Raw genomic sequence first — 17301 nt, 5'->3', positions numbered from 1 at the left:
TTGAACTCCTGGGTTCAAGCCATCCTCCCACTTCGGCCTCCCAAAATGCTGGCATTACAGGTATGGGCCACCTTGCTTGGTCACAGAGCCCTAGCATTTTAACACCTCACTTATACATTTAATTCACTTCCAAAGATATTTGCTGAGTGCTTACTACATTTGAAGAAATTGTTAGCAGTTTAAAGGTTATGGGCATATTTTTTTTTTAAATTATTGCCCTTTCTCAAGGATGCTATAATGTCTAGGGGACAGAGATATGGAAAGTGTTTACAGGGTAGAGGGGAAAAAACTCCATGCTGATTGTTCCCCTCTTGTGGGTCTTTATTTCCTCCTGGCTGGATAACAGTAGTGGTTTAATTTATCTTTCCAGCCCCACTTCACTCTCCTTCCATTCCAACTGACAAACTACCAGGTGAATCTTAAGACAGTCTGGATTCTGTTTTCCAGAACGTAATGCCTCCTTTACCATGGCGTTCTTTTTACAACAAGGCCTCAGCAAACTTTCAAACCTTATCTCTCAAACAACCCAGGTGACTCCCTTGCTCAAACATGTCCTCTGTTTTCCTTCCTCCACGTTATTACTCACAGTGTTTCCTAAGTTGGAGTGCCCCACCTCATTACTGCCTGTCAAACATAAGCTCTTTCATGTGTTGCCTCAGTGGGTTCTCCACCAGACAGGAACACTCCCTTCCTAGACCAGACCTCATTCTACTATCCTTTCAGCATTGTTCGTGTTAGCATCATTTCATGGACCCTGTTCTTGATTGTGGCAAAGCTGATCTATTTCACCTTTTTATATTTCCTCTAGTTCCTTGTATGTAGCCAACAAATGTTTATTGAATTACACCCAGGATCTTATTTATTTATTTATTTATTTATTTATTTATTGAGACAGAGTCTTATTCCATCACCCAGGTTGGAGTGCAGTGGTGCGATCTTAGCTCACTAACAGGCTCCATCTCCCAGGTTCAAGCGATTTTCCTGCCTCAGCCTCCCGAGTAGCTGGGATTACAGGCATGCACCACCACACCTGGCTAATTTTTGTATTTTTAGGAGAGATGGCATTTCACCGTGTTGGCCAGGCTGGTCTCAAACTCCTGGACTCAAGTGATCCACCTGCCTCAGCCTCCCAAAGTGCTGGGATTACAGGCGTGAGCCACTGCACCCGGCCCCAGGATCTTAATTTTAATATCCGTATCCTAGCTTTGCTAGTTTTAAGCTGTGTGATATTGAGCAAGTTACTTAACCTCTCTAAGCTTCAGTTTCCTCATGTGAAATAAGATAATGCACTTGGAATGCTTTAGCATTCTGCTTGTTACAATAGGAGCTACAGATTGTCAGAGAAAGAAAAGATCCACCTACGTTGGAGGAATATGGGAGGGCTTCCTGGAGGAAGTGGGATGTCAGCTGGGATTTGAATAGATGAAGATAAAAGAGGACATTCTAGACAAAAAAACTAATCAGAACAAAGACTTAAGAAGAAATAGGAAAGCACAGGATGTGCTGAAGACGGAGTTGATCAAGTCCTGGAAAATACTTTTGGAGAGATTCTCCATGAAGAGAAATAGAGAGGGAAAGGATGGGGGAGTAACTTTTCTCAGAGTATGAATTAACAGGTTGGAAGGAGGAAGATCAGTCTTCAGTGGTTCGCTGAAGGTTCCTGTCATTGGATTTGCCCCTTTCAGCAGCAGCAGCAGAATCAGAAGTGGTGGCCAGTGGATAGGTGACAGAATGAAATCAGCACATGTTTTCAGCAAGGTGCAAAGAAGGATGGAAATGGACAGAAGGACAACTGGCTGCTCATGATTAGCAGAGTGAGGCTTAAAGTTTTACATTTGTGTTAAAGAATTAATTATAGAGGCAGGAGAATTGCTTGAATCCGGGAGACGGAGGTTGCAGTGAGCCAAGATCCCGCCACTGCAATCCAGCCTGAGCGACAAGAGCGAGACTCCATCTCAAAAAAAAAAAAAAAAGAATTAATTATAGAAATACAAGAGTGAATTTGGCTTAGTATCAGTTTTTGGGAAAAGCTCTAGAGGGAAGGGGGTGGAAAGGATTGGTTATAAAGTCAGGTTGAGCCAAAGGGTCAGTGCAGCCACTAGATCTGCCGATGCAAATATAAAATGAAGCCAGGCACGGTGGCTCACACCTGTAATCCCAACACTTTGGGAGACCAAGGCGGGCAGATCACTGGAGGCCAGGAGTTCAAGACCAGCCTGGCCAACATGGTGAAACCCTGCTATCTACTAAAAATACAAAAAAATTAGCCAGGTGTGGTGGTACATGCCTGTAGTCCCAGCTACTCAGGAGGCTGAGGCAGGAGAATCACTTGGACCCGGGAGGCAGACGTTGCAGTGAGCCAAGATTGCACCACTGCACTCCAGCCTGGGCAATAGAACAAAACTCTGTCATAAATAAATAAATAAAAATTAAAAAAAAAGTAATAAAAAATAAATAAAATGAACCAGGCACGGTGGCTTACAATTGTAATCCCAGTGTTTGGGAGGCTGAGGTGGAAGGATCACTTGAAGCCAAGAGTTTGGGACCAGCTTGGGCAACATAACCAGGCCCTGTCTCTACAAAAAAAATTTAAAAATTAGTTGAGCAAGGTGGTGAGCATCTGTACTTCCAAGCTCCTTGGGAGGCTGAGGTGGGAAGATCGCTTGAGCCCAGGTGTTGGAGGCTGCAGTGAGCTATGATCACACCACTGCACTCTAGCCTGAGTGACAGAGTAAGACCCTGTCTCCATATACACATGCAAAAAGTATAGTTTAATAGTAGACGTAGGGAGTCAGACCGAGGAAGGCCACAGGCTCACGGTACTGTTTGGCAGTCAGGTCAGGTCATACCTGAGCACTTTACATAGTTACATTTTTGCTGCAACAATAGGAATGTGTTAGCCCACAGCGGACAACTCAAATGATGCCTCCTGAGCAGGTAAGTGCACCCATGCCCCAGCTGCTGTGAGTGTTGGCTGCTAAGGGTTCCCAGCTGCACAAAATTTCAGAGAATTGCCCTCATTTGAAGGGAGTGGCCTTGGGGACCTTAACTTCCTTAGGGCCCACAACCACTGACATAGACTAGGGGACAAAAAGCTGTCCATGCCTCAAGGTGAGTGACTGTGGTGTTGTTTCTGCCCAGAGCTCTCCTATGTGCATCAGGCCAAGGAAAGATCAGGCTGAGCCTTACTCGAGTCTCTTCCCTTCTCTGTCTTGCTCATCTTCCTCCCTTACAGGTTTTTCCTCCCTCACTAAGTCCTGTTCATTGGCTCTGTCTTACAGGCTCTGTTTCTAAGGGCCCTGACCCAAGACACCTATGAAATCAAATAGCCAGAAAAGAACTGGATCTAGGTTCTCAAACAGAGCTATCATCCGTCATGGCCTTTATGCGTATTTCAGCTGTGATTGTTTGGTTTTGTGTTGGCTTTATTCTCCCTGTGGTCCTCACTGTTAATGCCAGGTGTACAGCCAGACAGTTCAGCAACCCTCCTGTAGAGAAAACTCCATCCCAGTAGTTGTTTTTTTTAAGATGGAGTTTTGCTTTTGTTTCCCAGGCTGGAGTGCAATGGCATGATCTTGGCTCACTGCAGCCTCTGCCTCCCAGGTTCAAGCGATTCTCCTGCCTCAGCCTCCCAGGTTCAAGCGATTCTCCTGCCTTAGCCTCCCAAGTAGCTGGGATTACAGGCGCGAGCCACAACAGCCAGCTGTATTTAGTAGAGACGGGGTTTTACCATATTGGTCAGACTGGTCTTGAACTCCTGACCTCAGGTGATCCCCCCGCCTCCCAAATTGCTGGGATTACAGGCATGTGCCACTGCTCTCGGCCCCATCCCAGTAGTTCTAACAAGATGCCAGGACTCACGCTAACTGGACTGTCTTGATCACATGTCTTTCCCTAAATCAATCACTACAAATGATGGCAGGCAAGGGTTGGAGTGCTTTCATTGGTTAGGACTGGGCCATGTGATCCCCCCCACCCCCCAACCCCAAGGTGAGTAGTGAGTCATATTCCCAAGGCAGCTACAGGGATAGACAGTGGGGCGGAGTGGTTCTGTTACCAGCAAGGCCTCCTGATCTAGACCTCAAGAGAGGGTTCTTGGATCTCGTGCAAGAAAGAATTTGAGGCGAATTCATAGAGTTAAGTGAGAGCAAGTTTATTAGAGAAGTAAGGAAACAAGAGGCCAGGTGCAGTGGCTCAGGCCCGTAATCCCAGCACTTTCGGAGGCTGAGTCGGGGTGCAGATCACTTGAGGCCAGGAGTTCTAGACCAGCCTGGCCAATATGGTGAAAGCCCCTCTCTACCAAAAATACAAAAATTAGCCAGGTGTGGTGGCACGCACCTGTAGTCTCAGCTACTCTGGAGGCTGAGGGAGGAGAATCGCTTGAACCTGGGAGGCAGAGGTTGCAGTGAACTGAGATTGTGCCACTGCACTCCAGCCTGGGTGACAGGGCAAGACTCTGTGTCAAAAAAAGGAAAAAAAAAAAAAGAGATACAAAAGAATGGCCACTCCATAGGCAGAGCAGTGGCATGGGCCACTCAGCTGCTTATACTTATTGTCACTTCTCGATTATATGCTAAGCAAGGGATGGATTATTCATGAATTTTCTGGGAAAGGGGTGGGCAATCCCTGGAACTGGAACTGAGGTTTCCTCCCATTTTTAGACCAGAGAGGGTAACCTCTGGACATTTCCATGGTATCTGTAAACTGTCACGGCACTGGTGGGAGTGCCTTTTAGCATGCTAATGCATTATAAATAGTGTATAATGAGCAGTGAGGATGACCAGAGGTCACTTTTCTTACCATCTTGGCTTTGGTGGGTTTTGTCCGGCTTCTTTACCATAACATATTTTATTAGCAAGGTCCTTGTATCTTGTGCTGACCTATCTCATCCTGTGACTTAGAATGCCTAATCTCCTGGAAATGCAACTCAGTAGGTCTCAGCCTTATTTTACCCAGCCCCTATTTAAGATGGAGTCCTGGTTCGAACGCCTCTGACAGTTCCCCAGAGGAAAGTGGAGTTCTCTTACCAAAAGAAAGAGAATGTTTACAGGGAAGGACACAAATAACACATGTCGCCAATAGATCCTGAAGGATGTCCGCATGAAGTCATTAGGACATGAAGTCACTGAGGCCTGATGGCAAGAAAAAGGGACTTATTCCCTACTGTTTTGTGGAGATGGGTCGAGGGTGTGGGAAAGAGGGTGAAGTGGGATTAGACATGTTTGGTGAAGCTTTAGAGGATAACATTAGGATCTAGGGTCAGAGATAATGTTATTCCTTTTTTTTTTCAGAGTTACCCAGGCTGGAGTGGGGTCAGAGATTAGAGGGAGGCAGACCACCTATAAGAAATATATAAACCCTTTTTTTTTTTTTTTTTGAGACGGAGTCTCACTCTGTCGCCCAGCCTGGAGTGCAGTGGCACGATCTCGGCTCACTGCAAGCTCCACCTCCAGGGTTCACGCCATTTTCCCACCTCAGCCTCCTGAGTAGCTGGGACTACAGGCGCCCGCTACCACACCCGGCTAATTTTTTGTATTTATAGTAGAGACGGGGTTTCACCGTGTTAGCCAGGATGGTCTCAATCTCCTGACCTCGTGATCTGCCCGCCTTGGCCTCCCAAAGTGCTGGGATTACAGGCGTGAGCCACCGCGCCTGGCTTTTTTTTTCTTTGAGACAGAGTCTCTCTTACTCTGTCACCCAGGCTGGAGTGCAGTGGTGGGATCTCGGCTCACTGCAATCTCCGCCTCCCAGGTTCAAGCAATTCTCCTGCCTCAGCCTCCCGAGTAGCTGGGATTACAGGTGAGCATCACCACGCCCGGTTCATTTTTGTATTTTTAGTAGAGACGGGGTTTCACCATGTTGGCCAGGCTGGTCTTGAACTCCTGACCTCAAGTGATCCTCTGGTCTCGGCCACCCAAAGTGCTGGGATTACAGGTGTGAGCCACCACATCCAGCCTAACCCTTTATATATACACAAAATATATATGTGTCTATATATAGTATATAAAACGTATACAATTTAAGTTGTCCAGAAAAAGTATAGAGATATTTGTGAGACGGTGAGGTTGCCTGCAGTCTCTGCCATGAATGGGCAGATCTCTTTTCCTGTGACTAATAAAATACACTTGTGCCTCCTCATTACCTGGGCTTTTTAAGGAGGGCTGTGTCTGGGTGGGTACTATCTGGAATGCCCCACCTTGGTCATGTTTTGGGGAAATCTGCCCCACCCCAATAATTCCAGTGGGGGTACTTTCTCCTCCGAGGCGCACTTCTGCATCCTCTTTTTTTTTTTTTTTTTTAAATACGGAGTCTCGCTCTGTCGCCCAGGCTGGTGTGCAGTGGCGCCATCTCGGCTCACTGCAAGCTCCGCCTCCCGGGTTCATGCCATTCTCCTGCCTCAGCCTCCCGAGTAGCTGGGACTTGACAGGCGCCCGCCACCACGCCCAGCTAATTTTTTCTGTTTTTAGTAGAGACGGGGTTTCACCGTGTTAGCCAGGATGGTCTTGATCTCCTGACCTCGTGATCCGCCCGCCTCGGCCTCCCAAAGCGCTGGGATTACAGGCGTGAGTCACCGCGCCCGGACTGCATCCTGTTTTTGTTTTTTGTTTTGAGATGGAGTCTCACTCTGTCGCCCAGGCTGGAGTGCAGTGGCGCGATCTCAGCTCACTGCAAGCTCTGCCTCCCAGGTTCCGCCATTCTCCTGCCTCAGCCTCCCGAGTAGCTGGGACTACAGGCGCCCGCCACCACGCCCAGCTAATTTTTTCTGTTTTTTAGTAGAGACGGGGTTTCACCGTGTTGGCCAAGATGGTCTTGGTCTCCTGACCTCGTGATCCGCCCGCCTCGACCTCCCAAAGTGCTGGGATTATAGGCGTGAGCCACCGCACCCGGCCTGCATCCTGTTTTAGTCACCTGGGATACCGGCCTGGCATTGCAGTCACCGCAGTACGTGCCTTAGCATCCTCCAGTTTGGTGTAAGCACCCCCAGGGTAGTGACTGTATCTCATCTAGCTTACCCCCTCAGTGTTCTTACTCAAAAAATATTTATCGAATAAATAATTTTATCAGGTATTTTGTGCAAGAATTTTTGCCTTGGGGAAGGTGTGTGTGACTAAGAGCCCACGAGGATCCCGTCTAACTCCAAGATTCTGCGACCGGCATTGGAAGCTGATTTATAGTGAGTAATTGGGAATACCCAAGGCCACTTTGACTTTTGCCGCCATTGGATAGAGCAGCACCCTCTCCTACCCTCCCTCTGAGTTCACCCATGGGCAGTCCCAGAAGCCTTTGATGGGGAAAAGGGGGTCATAGTGAGAATTTACCTTGGAATGTAAAGTGAGCCGCCCCTTTTCAGTCTTTGCATCTTCACGCGGGTCCGCCCCAAACCTAGAAGAACGCCCCTGACCACTTCTTCTTCTATCTACTGTTACTCCTTCCTCTGACTCTGGTGACCCCATCCCGGAAGCCTTCCGGAAAGCGCTTCCCCCTTTTCCACCCCATCGAGTTGGGGTTATTTCTCCTTTTCTGGGCTCTCTCCCATTGCTGGGGAGGAAGGCGGATACGAAGGGCCTGCATGACCGCAGCTGTCATCACAGTGGGCCTGGCTTACCTTGTTGCTCTCTCCCCTTTCGCCTTTCTCCTTTCTCCCTGTTGCAGTCATGGACTTCACTCATAATACATATACATATACATATACATATACATATACATATACATATACACATACACATACACATACACATACACATACACATACACATACATATACATGTTTTTAAATCGGGCAGCCACCCGCTCCCCGCCCTCAGCCCGGAATAGGTTCAGAGAGGTGCCCGGGTTCACTTGCGGAGCGTGTGGCCTCTGCGCCTAACGCGCGCCCCTTCACTACACGAATGGGTGCGGGCAAGGGTATAGGATTTTAGAATTCCAAGAGTTGTCGGGGGTCATCCCGTGGAATCCTCTTTTTTGCAGATGCTCTTCCTGGAGCCTTCCGATGCAAGCTCTTGGGCTCACGCAGCCCTTTTCCTCTTCTAAGCCCAGAGCGCTTTCGCTGCTGCTGATCTCCACGGCCTCGGCAGATAGGGAGGGGCAGGCAGGTGTCAGCGTCCTCCCTTTCACCGTTGGGGAAACTGACTCAGAGAAACAAGGCGACGGGCCTCGGCGGGGCGGGACCGTAACGGGAATTCAAGGCTCCAGGCCAGAGCGGAATTTATTGTGTCTCGTTTTGGGAAGCGTGAATGTGAAATGATCGACTTCGGAGCCCCAGGCGGAGACCCTTCAGTCCCCGACAAGAATCGGGATGGGGTCTGGGATTAATGCAGTAATTACTCGCGCCTGGGCATTGACCCCTTGGCAACTTCGCAAGATCCGGCAGGGTCCACCGCCCTTCCCTTCACAGGGTGACCACAGGGCTGCGGCCTCTTTAAGGCCCAGAGCTCCGCCCCCGGCTCGTCGCCAACCCCCTCGCCGCAGCTCAGCCAGTTCCAGACTTTCCTCAGAGATGAGGTCATCTCCCCGTTGCCCATTGGCTGCGCCGTGCCGTCAGTCACAGGAAGTCAGGCCGCCGTTTTCGCCTTCTTCATGCCGCTTCCTTCTCCGCCCGCCCTTTAGTCCGCCGATCACGACCCCGATCAGGCCTCTGATTGGCTAGCGCCGCCGTCACTTCTCCAGCGGACAGTCTTCAGGACGGGAGGCGGGCGTGGTGGGCGGGCCCGCAGCTTCCGTGGCTGAGAGGAGCCGGCGGCGGCAGTGTCTGTGGTGGCCGCGGCGGCGAGAGCGACGGTCCCATCTTTCCCACCCTCTTGGTTGCCGCTGGCCACACGCCCTCCGCTGGCGGCGACTTCTCAGCTCCGTGCGCCCGGGCTGGACAGTGAGCCTCGAGAGGAGACGCGGGCGGCTAGAGCCGGAGTGGGGCGAGCCGCGGAACCCGGCCGGGAGCCGCGCGAGGCGGTGAGTGAGAGTCCGGGTTGGGGACCCCTCCCCCACCGCGGCCTCGCCCCGCCTGGAGCATCCTTTTTCCCCCCCGACCCTGCTGCGCGCGTCCTCGGGGGGTCGGGCGAGGCGGCCCTCGCGTCCCCTGCCCTCTTCTTGCCGGCCTTCTGCCCCTGCCCTCGGGGCCGGAGTCGCAGAGCGGCGGTCACTGTGCCGGGGCTGGGACCCGGGCCGGGCCGGGCGGGCGGGCGCGGTCGTGCACCTGTGCACTGCCTGGCAGGGCTGTGCTGCGCGGGGCGGGGAGGCACGGAGGTCCTCGCCCTCGCTTCTCCCGGGATGTGTTTTGATTGCAGGGACGGGGTGTCGGCCGCTTTCTCTGGGGTCTTGTGCAGACCTTCAGGATCCAAGTGCAGTCCTTGGGATTCCCAGGCAAGGAGGCTCAGCTGGACTTGTTGGTGCCAGTATAGCAAACCTGAATGCTGCCAGGTGTACAGGGCTCTGCAAATCTGAAACTTGATGGCCAAGAACTTTACCTCCTAAGAAAGCGTCTGTCAGGACGCTGATGCAGTCCACCCTCCCCGCTTCGGGTACCTTTGATACTCCATAGTGCCTAGGGCTGGACCTTTTGAGTCGACTCCCAAACCTGCCACTTGCTAGCTGTGTAATCTTGTGCCTTGGTTTCCTCGTCTGAAAAATGAGGATAATAGCACCAATCGCATACGGTTGTTTGTTGTAAGTGTCGAATGAAATAATTCACGTGAAGCGTTTGACACAGTGCTTGGCCCATAGTAAGGGCCCAAGAAATGTTTGCTTTTGGGATGTTGAGAATGCCTGGTTTGCCTGTGTGCCTTTAAGCACTAGCCCAGCTTGGCATTGTCAAGATTTCTCTCTGTTGTCTCCCTGTTATGCAGCATAACGAAAGGGCAGTTGAATGGTTAACTTGCTTGCCAGCCTCTGTTTGGCATGAAGTGTGTGTATATACAGGAATGTGGAATACATCACTTAAATATAATAATGGAATTACCCCATGCTTCGTATGTTTTTACATAGTTTTAAACTCATAAGACGTCTGGAATGTCCCCGAGTTGCAAGTTTTTGAGATCTTTTCAGGGTCCTTTCTACATCAAGCCGAAGCCTGTAACGTTAAGACTTATTGTCAGTAAGAAGTTAGACCTACATGTTTTACTTCAGAAGACCCCCAAAACTCCAAATGTCACTTACGCAGTTTTACTGTTGAAAAGCAGTCATCTCCCGGGGGTGAGGTGGTACAGCCAGCTGGCCCACAGCCCTATGACTGCAGGGTGGGGAACCTTTGGCTGGAAGTTATTAAACTAAGTTTTGCTTAATGTCGTTTGCATTTTTCATAGCGAACCAAAGGGCTTTATGTTACTGTTTCTTATTGAAATGATTTAGAAAGAAGCAATCCATTACTGCGTTCTTTAAAAACACCTGCAAAGAAAAAAATATCTGTAGTTTAGCTCTAGTGTTTGTTTCAGTTTTTGGCCAATAACTATTAAGAAGAGCCCGTTTTTAAGAAGGCTTCCAAAAGTCACATCCACTTGAATAAGTTATTTAGAGTCAAATCAAGAGAGGTGGAAGAGTAATATGTATCCCATCACCCAAAAGTATTTATTGGAGAGTTTCCATGTCCTTAGTACTCTGCCAGATGCTATTAGGGAGTGATTAAAAAGAGTATGAAATAGAATCTCAGCCTATAAAGGGCAAAACCATAAAGTTTGGGTCACCCGTTAGTAATTACAAGTACTACTTAAGGGATGACTTCATTTATTCATTCAACAGACTTTTTGTTCCATGTTTGTAACGTGCCAGGTGTTTTTCTAAGGGCTGGGGCTGTCAAGATAAGTGAGATATGGTCCCTGCTCATGAGGAGCTCACAGTCTAGTGGGAGAGGCAAAAAATGACAGATGATTGTAACGCGCTGAAATACACTCTAAATCCAGACTTCACTGGGAGAGTCAAGGGAGCTTTTCCTGTGGATGTATGGGAAGGCTTCAAAGAAAATGGCATTTGAGCTGAATGTTAACTCAGATGAAGGAGAGGAAATTCCAAAGAGAAATAACAGCTTGGAAAGTTTTCCTGATAGGCGGGGCACAGTGGCTTACGCCTGTAATCCTAGCACTTCGGGAGGCCAAGGCAGGAGGATCACTTGAGGCCAGGAGTTCGAGTTGAGACCCGCTTGGGCAACATAATGATAGCTTGTCTCCACAAAAAAGTTAAAGAATTAGCAGACGTGGTGGCTTGCACCTGTAGTCCCAGCTACTCAGGAGGCTGAGGCTGGAGGATCCCTTGAGCCCAGGAGTTTGAGGTGGCAGTAAGCTATGTTCACACTGCCCTCCATCCTGAATGTGCGGTGAGACCCTGTCTCAAAAAAAAAAAAAAATCCTGATAAATCTTCTGATATACCAGTTATAAGCCCCAGGAAGGGAGAAGGAAACTAACATTCCTTGATGCCCACTACATAAAAGCTAGGCTTTGATTGTGTTGCTTTAGGATAGGGAAATAGGCTGCAACTAGTTAAATAACTCATTTAGGGATACAGAAGTTAACAGAACCAGGACTTGAATCTCTGACTTAAAAGTATGGTATACGGTTCCTTTTAACATGCTTTTGTAGAGGTAAATATGAAAGAGGTTAGAAAGTTCTACCCATATTATCATTATTATCATTTTACTACATCTATTGCAAGTTACTTTCTGTGAAATGTTTCATATTTGATTTAGTCACTAAGGCGATATAATAAATAAAGCTTATCTTTATAAGCTTTATATATGGCAATATAATAAATAAAGGCTATCTTTATTTATATATTTTATACTTATAAATTTGGTGATATTTCCTAAAAAGTATGGCCTGTGGGAACATTCAGTAAAAATGGAGTACATTGATATATACAGATTCCATATGAAGCACTTTACTAACTTTGTTAAACAGGTATAAACTTTCTTTGAGAGTGCAGCTTAAATACTTATTTAAGTGTATTTAAAAAACGATTTGTAGATTTACAGCCATTTAATTTACAAAGGGAAATTTAGAATTTTTAAGTTGTATTAACAAAGATCGTTGTATTATATTTCGAGAAAACACTGTGGCAAGCTCATATACTACTGTAAGCTCCCCAGGGGTGAGGATATTTGTTTTTCTTCCCAGCTTCAAAGGCAGTTCTTGGGACATAGCAGGTGCTCAGTAAATATTTCTTGAATATAAGATGAACATGAACAAATATATATTTACTCCGTGTTCTTGTGTGTGTATATATATTCACATAAATGCTAGGGTTGATAGTTGCAATTGACAAACATAAGAAACATTTCTTTACTGAGAAAAAGCTTTGGTCAGGAGGTTATATTTCAGGTTTTTGAAAGAGAAAAGAGAAAACATTGATGGGTTATGGATGAAGTGGTATAGGCTTGGGGAGTAGTTTTTTATAAATGAATACATTTTGGAAGAAGGGGGACATTGAACAAAGAGAATGACCCACTGACACAATTCAGCAAATATGGGCGCTGTTTATGTCTAAGGCTTTAATAGAGTTTTGAGAATCAAGGAAATAGTCTCCGCTCTCAAGGAAATTAGAGTTTTGGAGAGCGGGTGTGTTAACTGTCTTCCTGTGTAACAGATTACCTCGAAAGTTAGTGTTTAAGACAACATTTCTTATTTTTCACAGTTTCTGTGAGTCAGGAATTTGGAATCAGCTTGGCTGAGTGATTCAAACTCAGGTCTCTCAAAAAATTGCAATAATGGCTGGGCACGGTGGCTCACACATGTATTCTCAGCATTTTGGGAGGCTGAGGCAGGTGGATCCCTTGAGGTCAGGAGATCGAGACCAGCCTGGCCAACATGGGGAAACCCCGTCGCTACTAAAAATACAAAAATTAGGTAGGTTTGGTGATGCACGCCTGTAGTCCCAGCTACTCAGGAGGCTAAGGCATGAGAATCACTTGAACCTGGGAGGCGGAGGTTGCAGTGAGCCAAGATTGCACCACTGCACTCCAGCCTGGGCGGCAGAGTATCTAAAAAAAAAAAATTATCTGGGAGTGGCAGCCCATGCCTGTAATCCCAGCTACTCAGGAGGCTGAGGCATAAGAATTGCTTGAACCAGGGAGGTGGAGGTTGCAGTGAGCTGAGATCGTGCCACTGCACTCCAGCCTGGGTGACAGAGCAAAACTGTCTCAAAAAAAAAAAATTGCAGTAATATGTCAGCTGAGGTAGCAGTCATCTGAAGGCTTGACTGAGGCTGGTGAATCCTTTTTCAAGGTGGCTACTCATATTGCTGGCAGGTTGGTGCAGGCTGTTGGTGGGAGATCTCAATTCCTCTTCATGTGGGCCTCTCCGCATGAATGCCTTCATGGCATGGCAGCCAGCTTGCCTCAGAGCATGTAATACAAAAGACCAAGCTGCTGCATTGACTTTTATGACCTAGCTTCAGAAGTCACATACCATCATTTTTCCAGTATTCTGTTGGCCACACATTGTGGGAAGGGACTACACAAGAATGTAAATGGCAGGAGGTGAGGGTCATTGGGGGCCATCTTGGAGGCTGGCCACGACAGTGGGTAAAGTAGAAAATGTTGAAAAGAAGGTACTGAAGTTCTGAAGTAGGGGAGAGGGGAGGACTCAGAGTAGGAAAGATTACCTTTGGAGGAATGAAGGAATGGGAAAAATTTAATTCCTTTATCAGATATTTATAAATATTTATTGTGTGTTTACTATGTACCTTTCACATGGAGGCTAATATGTGGAGGTAGACACTAAATTAGGTTCACATGAAATGTTTTAAGTAATTTAGGCCAGTGTTGACATAAGGAAAAATATTTGAAATCTATGTGTATGGTGAAGGTGGAGTCATTTTTTTTTATATTGATGAAAACAGTAACTTAGTGATAGATGAGCAGTTACACAGCATAAGTAGTTAACATAAATACTAGAGTCATACTGCATAGATCGGAATCCTGGCTCTACTTGCCGGCCGTGTGTATGAACTTGGACTGTGTGACTATGATACTCTTGCTACTTTATATTCTCTGTGACTCACTAGCTGTAAAATGGGGATAAAAATGGGGCCTGCTTCATATTGTTGCTGTGAGGATTAAATAAAAATATATAAAGTCCTTGGAACAGCTTTACATGCATGTCATTATCATGGTTATTATGATCATCATTGGTTTTGGGCAGTAGCGTAGAACTGACTGGGTGAATTAGTTTGGAGTCAGAGAGATGAATGAATATAGACTGATATGAGTATGCAGAAGGAGGCATTTAAATGTTAACCATTGCTGCTTCACCATCAATTTTTCTATGTCAAGTACCTACATCTAGATAATTTTTATTTTACAAAGTAGAGTGAACCAGTGGCTTTATTTAGGTGAATTCCACAGTTAAAATAAGACCCAAGGAGGTGCACAAGTTGCCATTAAGGGTGTCTCTTACCATCTTGTATCTTTGAATTTACTGGGCTCTCTGTCTGTAGAATGGGTTTAGCTGGAAGCAGTACTTAAAAGAGCATGTGCTTCACAAGAGCTAGGGCCCATAATAAAAATACCTAGAATGAGAACCTGTGTGGCTGAGTTTGAGGGACAAGGTTAACCTGGAGGGAATTTCAAAGGTATAGGCCTGGTACTGTGGCTCATGCCTATAATCCCAGCCATGTGAGAGGCTGAGACAGGAGGATTGCTTGAGCCCAGGAGTTTGAGGCTGCAATGAGCTGTGATCACACCACTGTGCTCCAGCCTGGTTAACAGATGAGACACTGTCTCAAGTAAATAAATAAATTAGAAAGTTAATTATAAGAAACTTCTAAATCTGGAGTATAGAAGTTTAGGAATTCAAAGGACGGATTTTGTGAAACTGCATCAGTTTAGATAAACTCTTTAGAGGCAGTAGTGATCTTCCTAATGAAGATGACTTCCATTTTACTACTTTAGGAAGTAGATTTGTTACGTCGAAAGGAAAGGAAATAGAAATGGATTCAGCTTTCTCCAAGTTGAAGTCTGAAATCTCTGATTTTGTACAACAGAAAAACGATTCTGTTGACTTAAAAACTGCCCAGGTGTTTTTTTGTTTGTTTCTTTTGTTTTGTTTTTAAAGAGACAGAGTCTCACTCTGTCATCCAGCTACCACACCCAGGCCTGTACCTTTTATTTTTTTATTTTTATTTTTTGAGAGACAGAGTCTCGTTCTCTTGCCTAGGGTAGAGCACAGTGGTGTGATCATGGCTCACTGCAACTGCCGCCTCCCAGGTTCAAGCGATTCTCCTGCCTCAGCTTCCCAAGTAGCTGGGATTACAGGTATGTGCCACCATGCCCAGCTAATTTTTGTATTTTTTAGTAGAGGCAGGGTTTCACTATATGTTGGCCAGGCTGGTCTCAAACTCCTGACCTCAGGTGATCCGCCTGCCTTGGCCTCCCAAAGCGCTAGGATGATAAGCATGAGCCACCGTGCTTGGCCAGTCCTGTACCTTTTAAATGCCCTCCAGATTAACCTTGTCCCTCAAACTCAGCCACACAGGTTCTCATTCTAGGTATTAGTGTGGGCCCTAGTTCCACCTCTAAGCTCTTGTGAAGCATATGGTGGGATCATAGCTCACTGCAACCTCAAAACTCCTTGTCTTAAGTGATCCTTCTGCCTCTGCCTCCTGAGTAGCTAGGACAACAGCATGTACCACCATGCTTGGCTAATTTTTTTTTTTTTTTTTTTTTTTTTGAGATGGAATCTTGCTCTGTCACCCAGGCTGGAGTGCAGTGGCGGGATCTCGGCTCACTGCAAGCTCCGCATCCTGGGTTCAAGCAATTCTCCTGCCTTAGCCTCCCGAGTAGCTGGGATTATAGGCACCCACCACCACGCCCAGCTAATTTTTTGTATATGTATATATTTTTTTTAGTAGGGACGGAGTTTCACTATGTTGGCCAGGCTGATCTCGAACTCCTGACCTCAGGCGATCCATCCGCCTCGGCCTCCCAAAGTATTGGGATTACAGCGTGAGCCACTGTGCCTGGCCTGCTTGGGTAATTTTTTTTTTTTTAATTATGTTTTGAGACGGAGTCTTGCTCTGTTGACCAGGCTGGAGTGCAGTGGTTCGATCTTGGCTCACTGCAACCTCCGTCTCCCGGGTTCAAGCCATTCTCCTGCCTCAGCCTCCCAGGTAGCTGGGACTACAGGCATGTGCCACCATGCCCGGCTAATTTTTTTGTATTTTTGGTAGAGACGGGGTTTCACCATATTGGACAGGCTGGTCTCAAACTCCTGACTTCAAGTGATCCGCCCGCCTCGGCCTCCCAAAGTGCTGGGATTACACATGTGAGCCACCGCGCCCAGCCTCTGCTTGGCTAATTTAAAAAATTTTTTTTGTAGAGAAGAGAAGAGAGTCTTGCTATATTGCCTAGACTAGTCTCAAATTCCTGGCCACAGCAATCCTCCTGCCTTGGCCTCCCGAAGTGTTGGGATTACAGGTGTGAGCCACCGTGCCTGGCCAAAATTCTTAAAAATACTGAATCCATATCACATGTATGAGGAGAGAAGATAATTACACTCTGTGTCACTGCAGGTGTTAAAGCAGAAATTGGGTGACCTGTCAGGGTGCATTGGGTGGAACTAATTGCTCAAGTTGCCTTCAGTTCTGTGGTTCATGACTCAAGTCCAGTTCTCTCATTGTTTAGTGGGAGGAGGCACTGTGAAATTAAATGATTTGAGTTCCACAACAGTCCAGGGGCTGAGCCCAGGCCAGTTCCTCACACAGTATTTAAGGCCGGCTCATATAGCAGTAATAGAAGATCTGTAGAATCCTTGGAAGAAAGAGCGTTGTGAAAATGTCTTTTTTTTTTTTTACTTCCACATTTTTACTTCTGTGGTATGTTTGGTTCATTTGCTCCCCACTCATTCTTATTGATATGCATTTAGAAATCATTCTCTGTGTAAATGAGAGCTTGTAATGAGTAATTTGGCTAGTTCATTTTGAGATCTGGAGTGTGTCCTCTGTTACTGAATTTCTAGATAGGTAGGCTATTTACAGGTCTTTGTCCTCTAAAATTATGAGTGGAAATTATGGGTGATTCTGGTTTTTGAAAATAATTGTTCTTGTATTAAAATTTAAAGCATAATGGGCATAATTCAAACAAAGTTCTGAACTTCATAATATGACAGAGTAAAATATCCAGTGAGGTAACATGTCCATGTCAAGTTTTAGGGCACAGCAGATCTGGGTACTGACAGTTACCAGGTATGTGACTGTAGGCTTACTCCTTAACCTTCCTGTGATTCAGCTTCTTCATCTGTAAACTAGAGTTAATAATCCTTACAACATGAGGTCGTTATAAGGATTATGAAGAAATGTAAAGAGGGAAGTAATAGGGGCATCTA

At 46.6% G+C, this 17301-nt stretch overlaps 1 protein-coding gene across 3 annotated transcripts in view, besides 3 other annotated features; it reads left to right on the top strand.

The window, feature by feature from the left end:
* Positions 6432 to 7631: an enhancer, noted in NCBI's record as "P300/CBP strongly-dependent group 1 enhancer chr22:41033797-41034996 (GRCh37/hg19 assembly coordinates)". NCBI's record gives its function as "activates an origin of replication core promoter dependent on BRD2, BRD4, P300/CBP, MED14 and CDK7 cofactors, with strong dependence on P300/CBP, by STARR-seq in HCT116 cells {active_cell/tissue: HCT116}" and the evidence as "EXISTENCE:reporter gene assay evidence [ECO:0000049][PMID:35650434]".
* Positions 8371 to 8680: an enhancer, noted in NCBI's record as "active region_19096". NCBI's record gives its function as "activates an Ori minimal core promoter by ATAC-STARR-seq in GM12878 lymphoblastoid cells {active_cell/tissue: GM12878}" and the evidence as "EXISTENCE:reporter gene assay evidence [ECO:0000049][PMID:35858748]".
* The window catches only part of MRTFA (myocardin related transcription factor A), a 226431-nt gene continuing 217834 nt past the window's right edge, over positions 8705 to 17301 (top strand). For all 3 annotated transcript variants that reach the window (NM_001282661.3, NM_020831.6, NM_001282662.3), the window contains exon 1: positions 8705 to 8946. The gene's annotated coding sequence lies outside the window, so the exon portion shown is untranslated. The remainder of the gene's footprint in view (positions 8947 to 17301) is intronic.
* Positions 8941 to 9250: a silencer, noted in NCBI's record as "silent region_13772". NCBI's record gives its function as "represses an Ori minimal core promoter by ATAC-STARR-seq in GM12878 lymphoblastoid cells {active_cell/tissue: GM12878}" and the evidence as "EXISTENCE:reporter gene assay evidence [ECO:0000049][PMID:35858748]".

Source organism: Homo sapiens, chromosome 22, assembly GCF_000001405.40.
Source record: "Homo sapiens chromosome 22, GRCh38.p14 Primary Assembly".
Lineage (NCBI taxonomy): Eukaryota > Metazoa > Chordata > Mammalia > Primates > Hominidae > Homo > Homo sapiens.
Note: the sequence above shows the minus strand (reverse complement) of the source record. Positions and strands in the feature narration are given on the sequence as shown.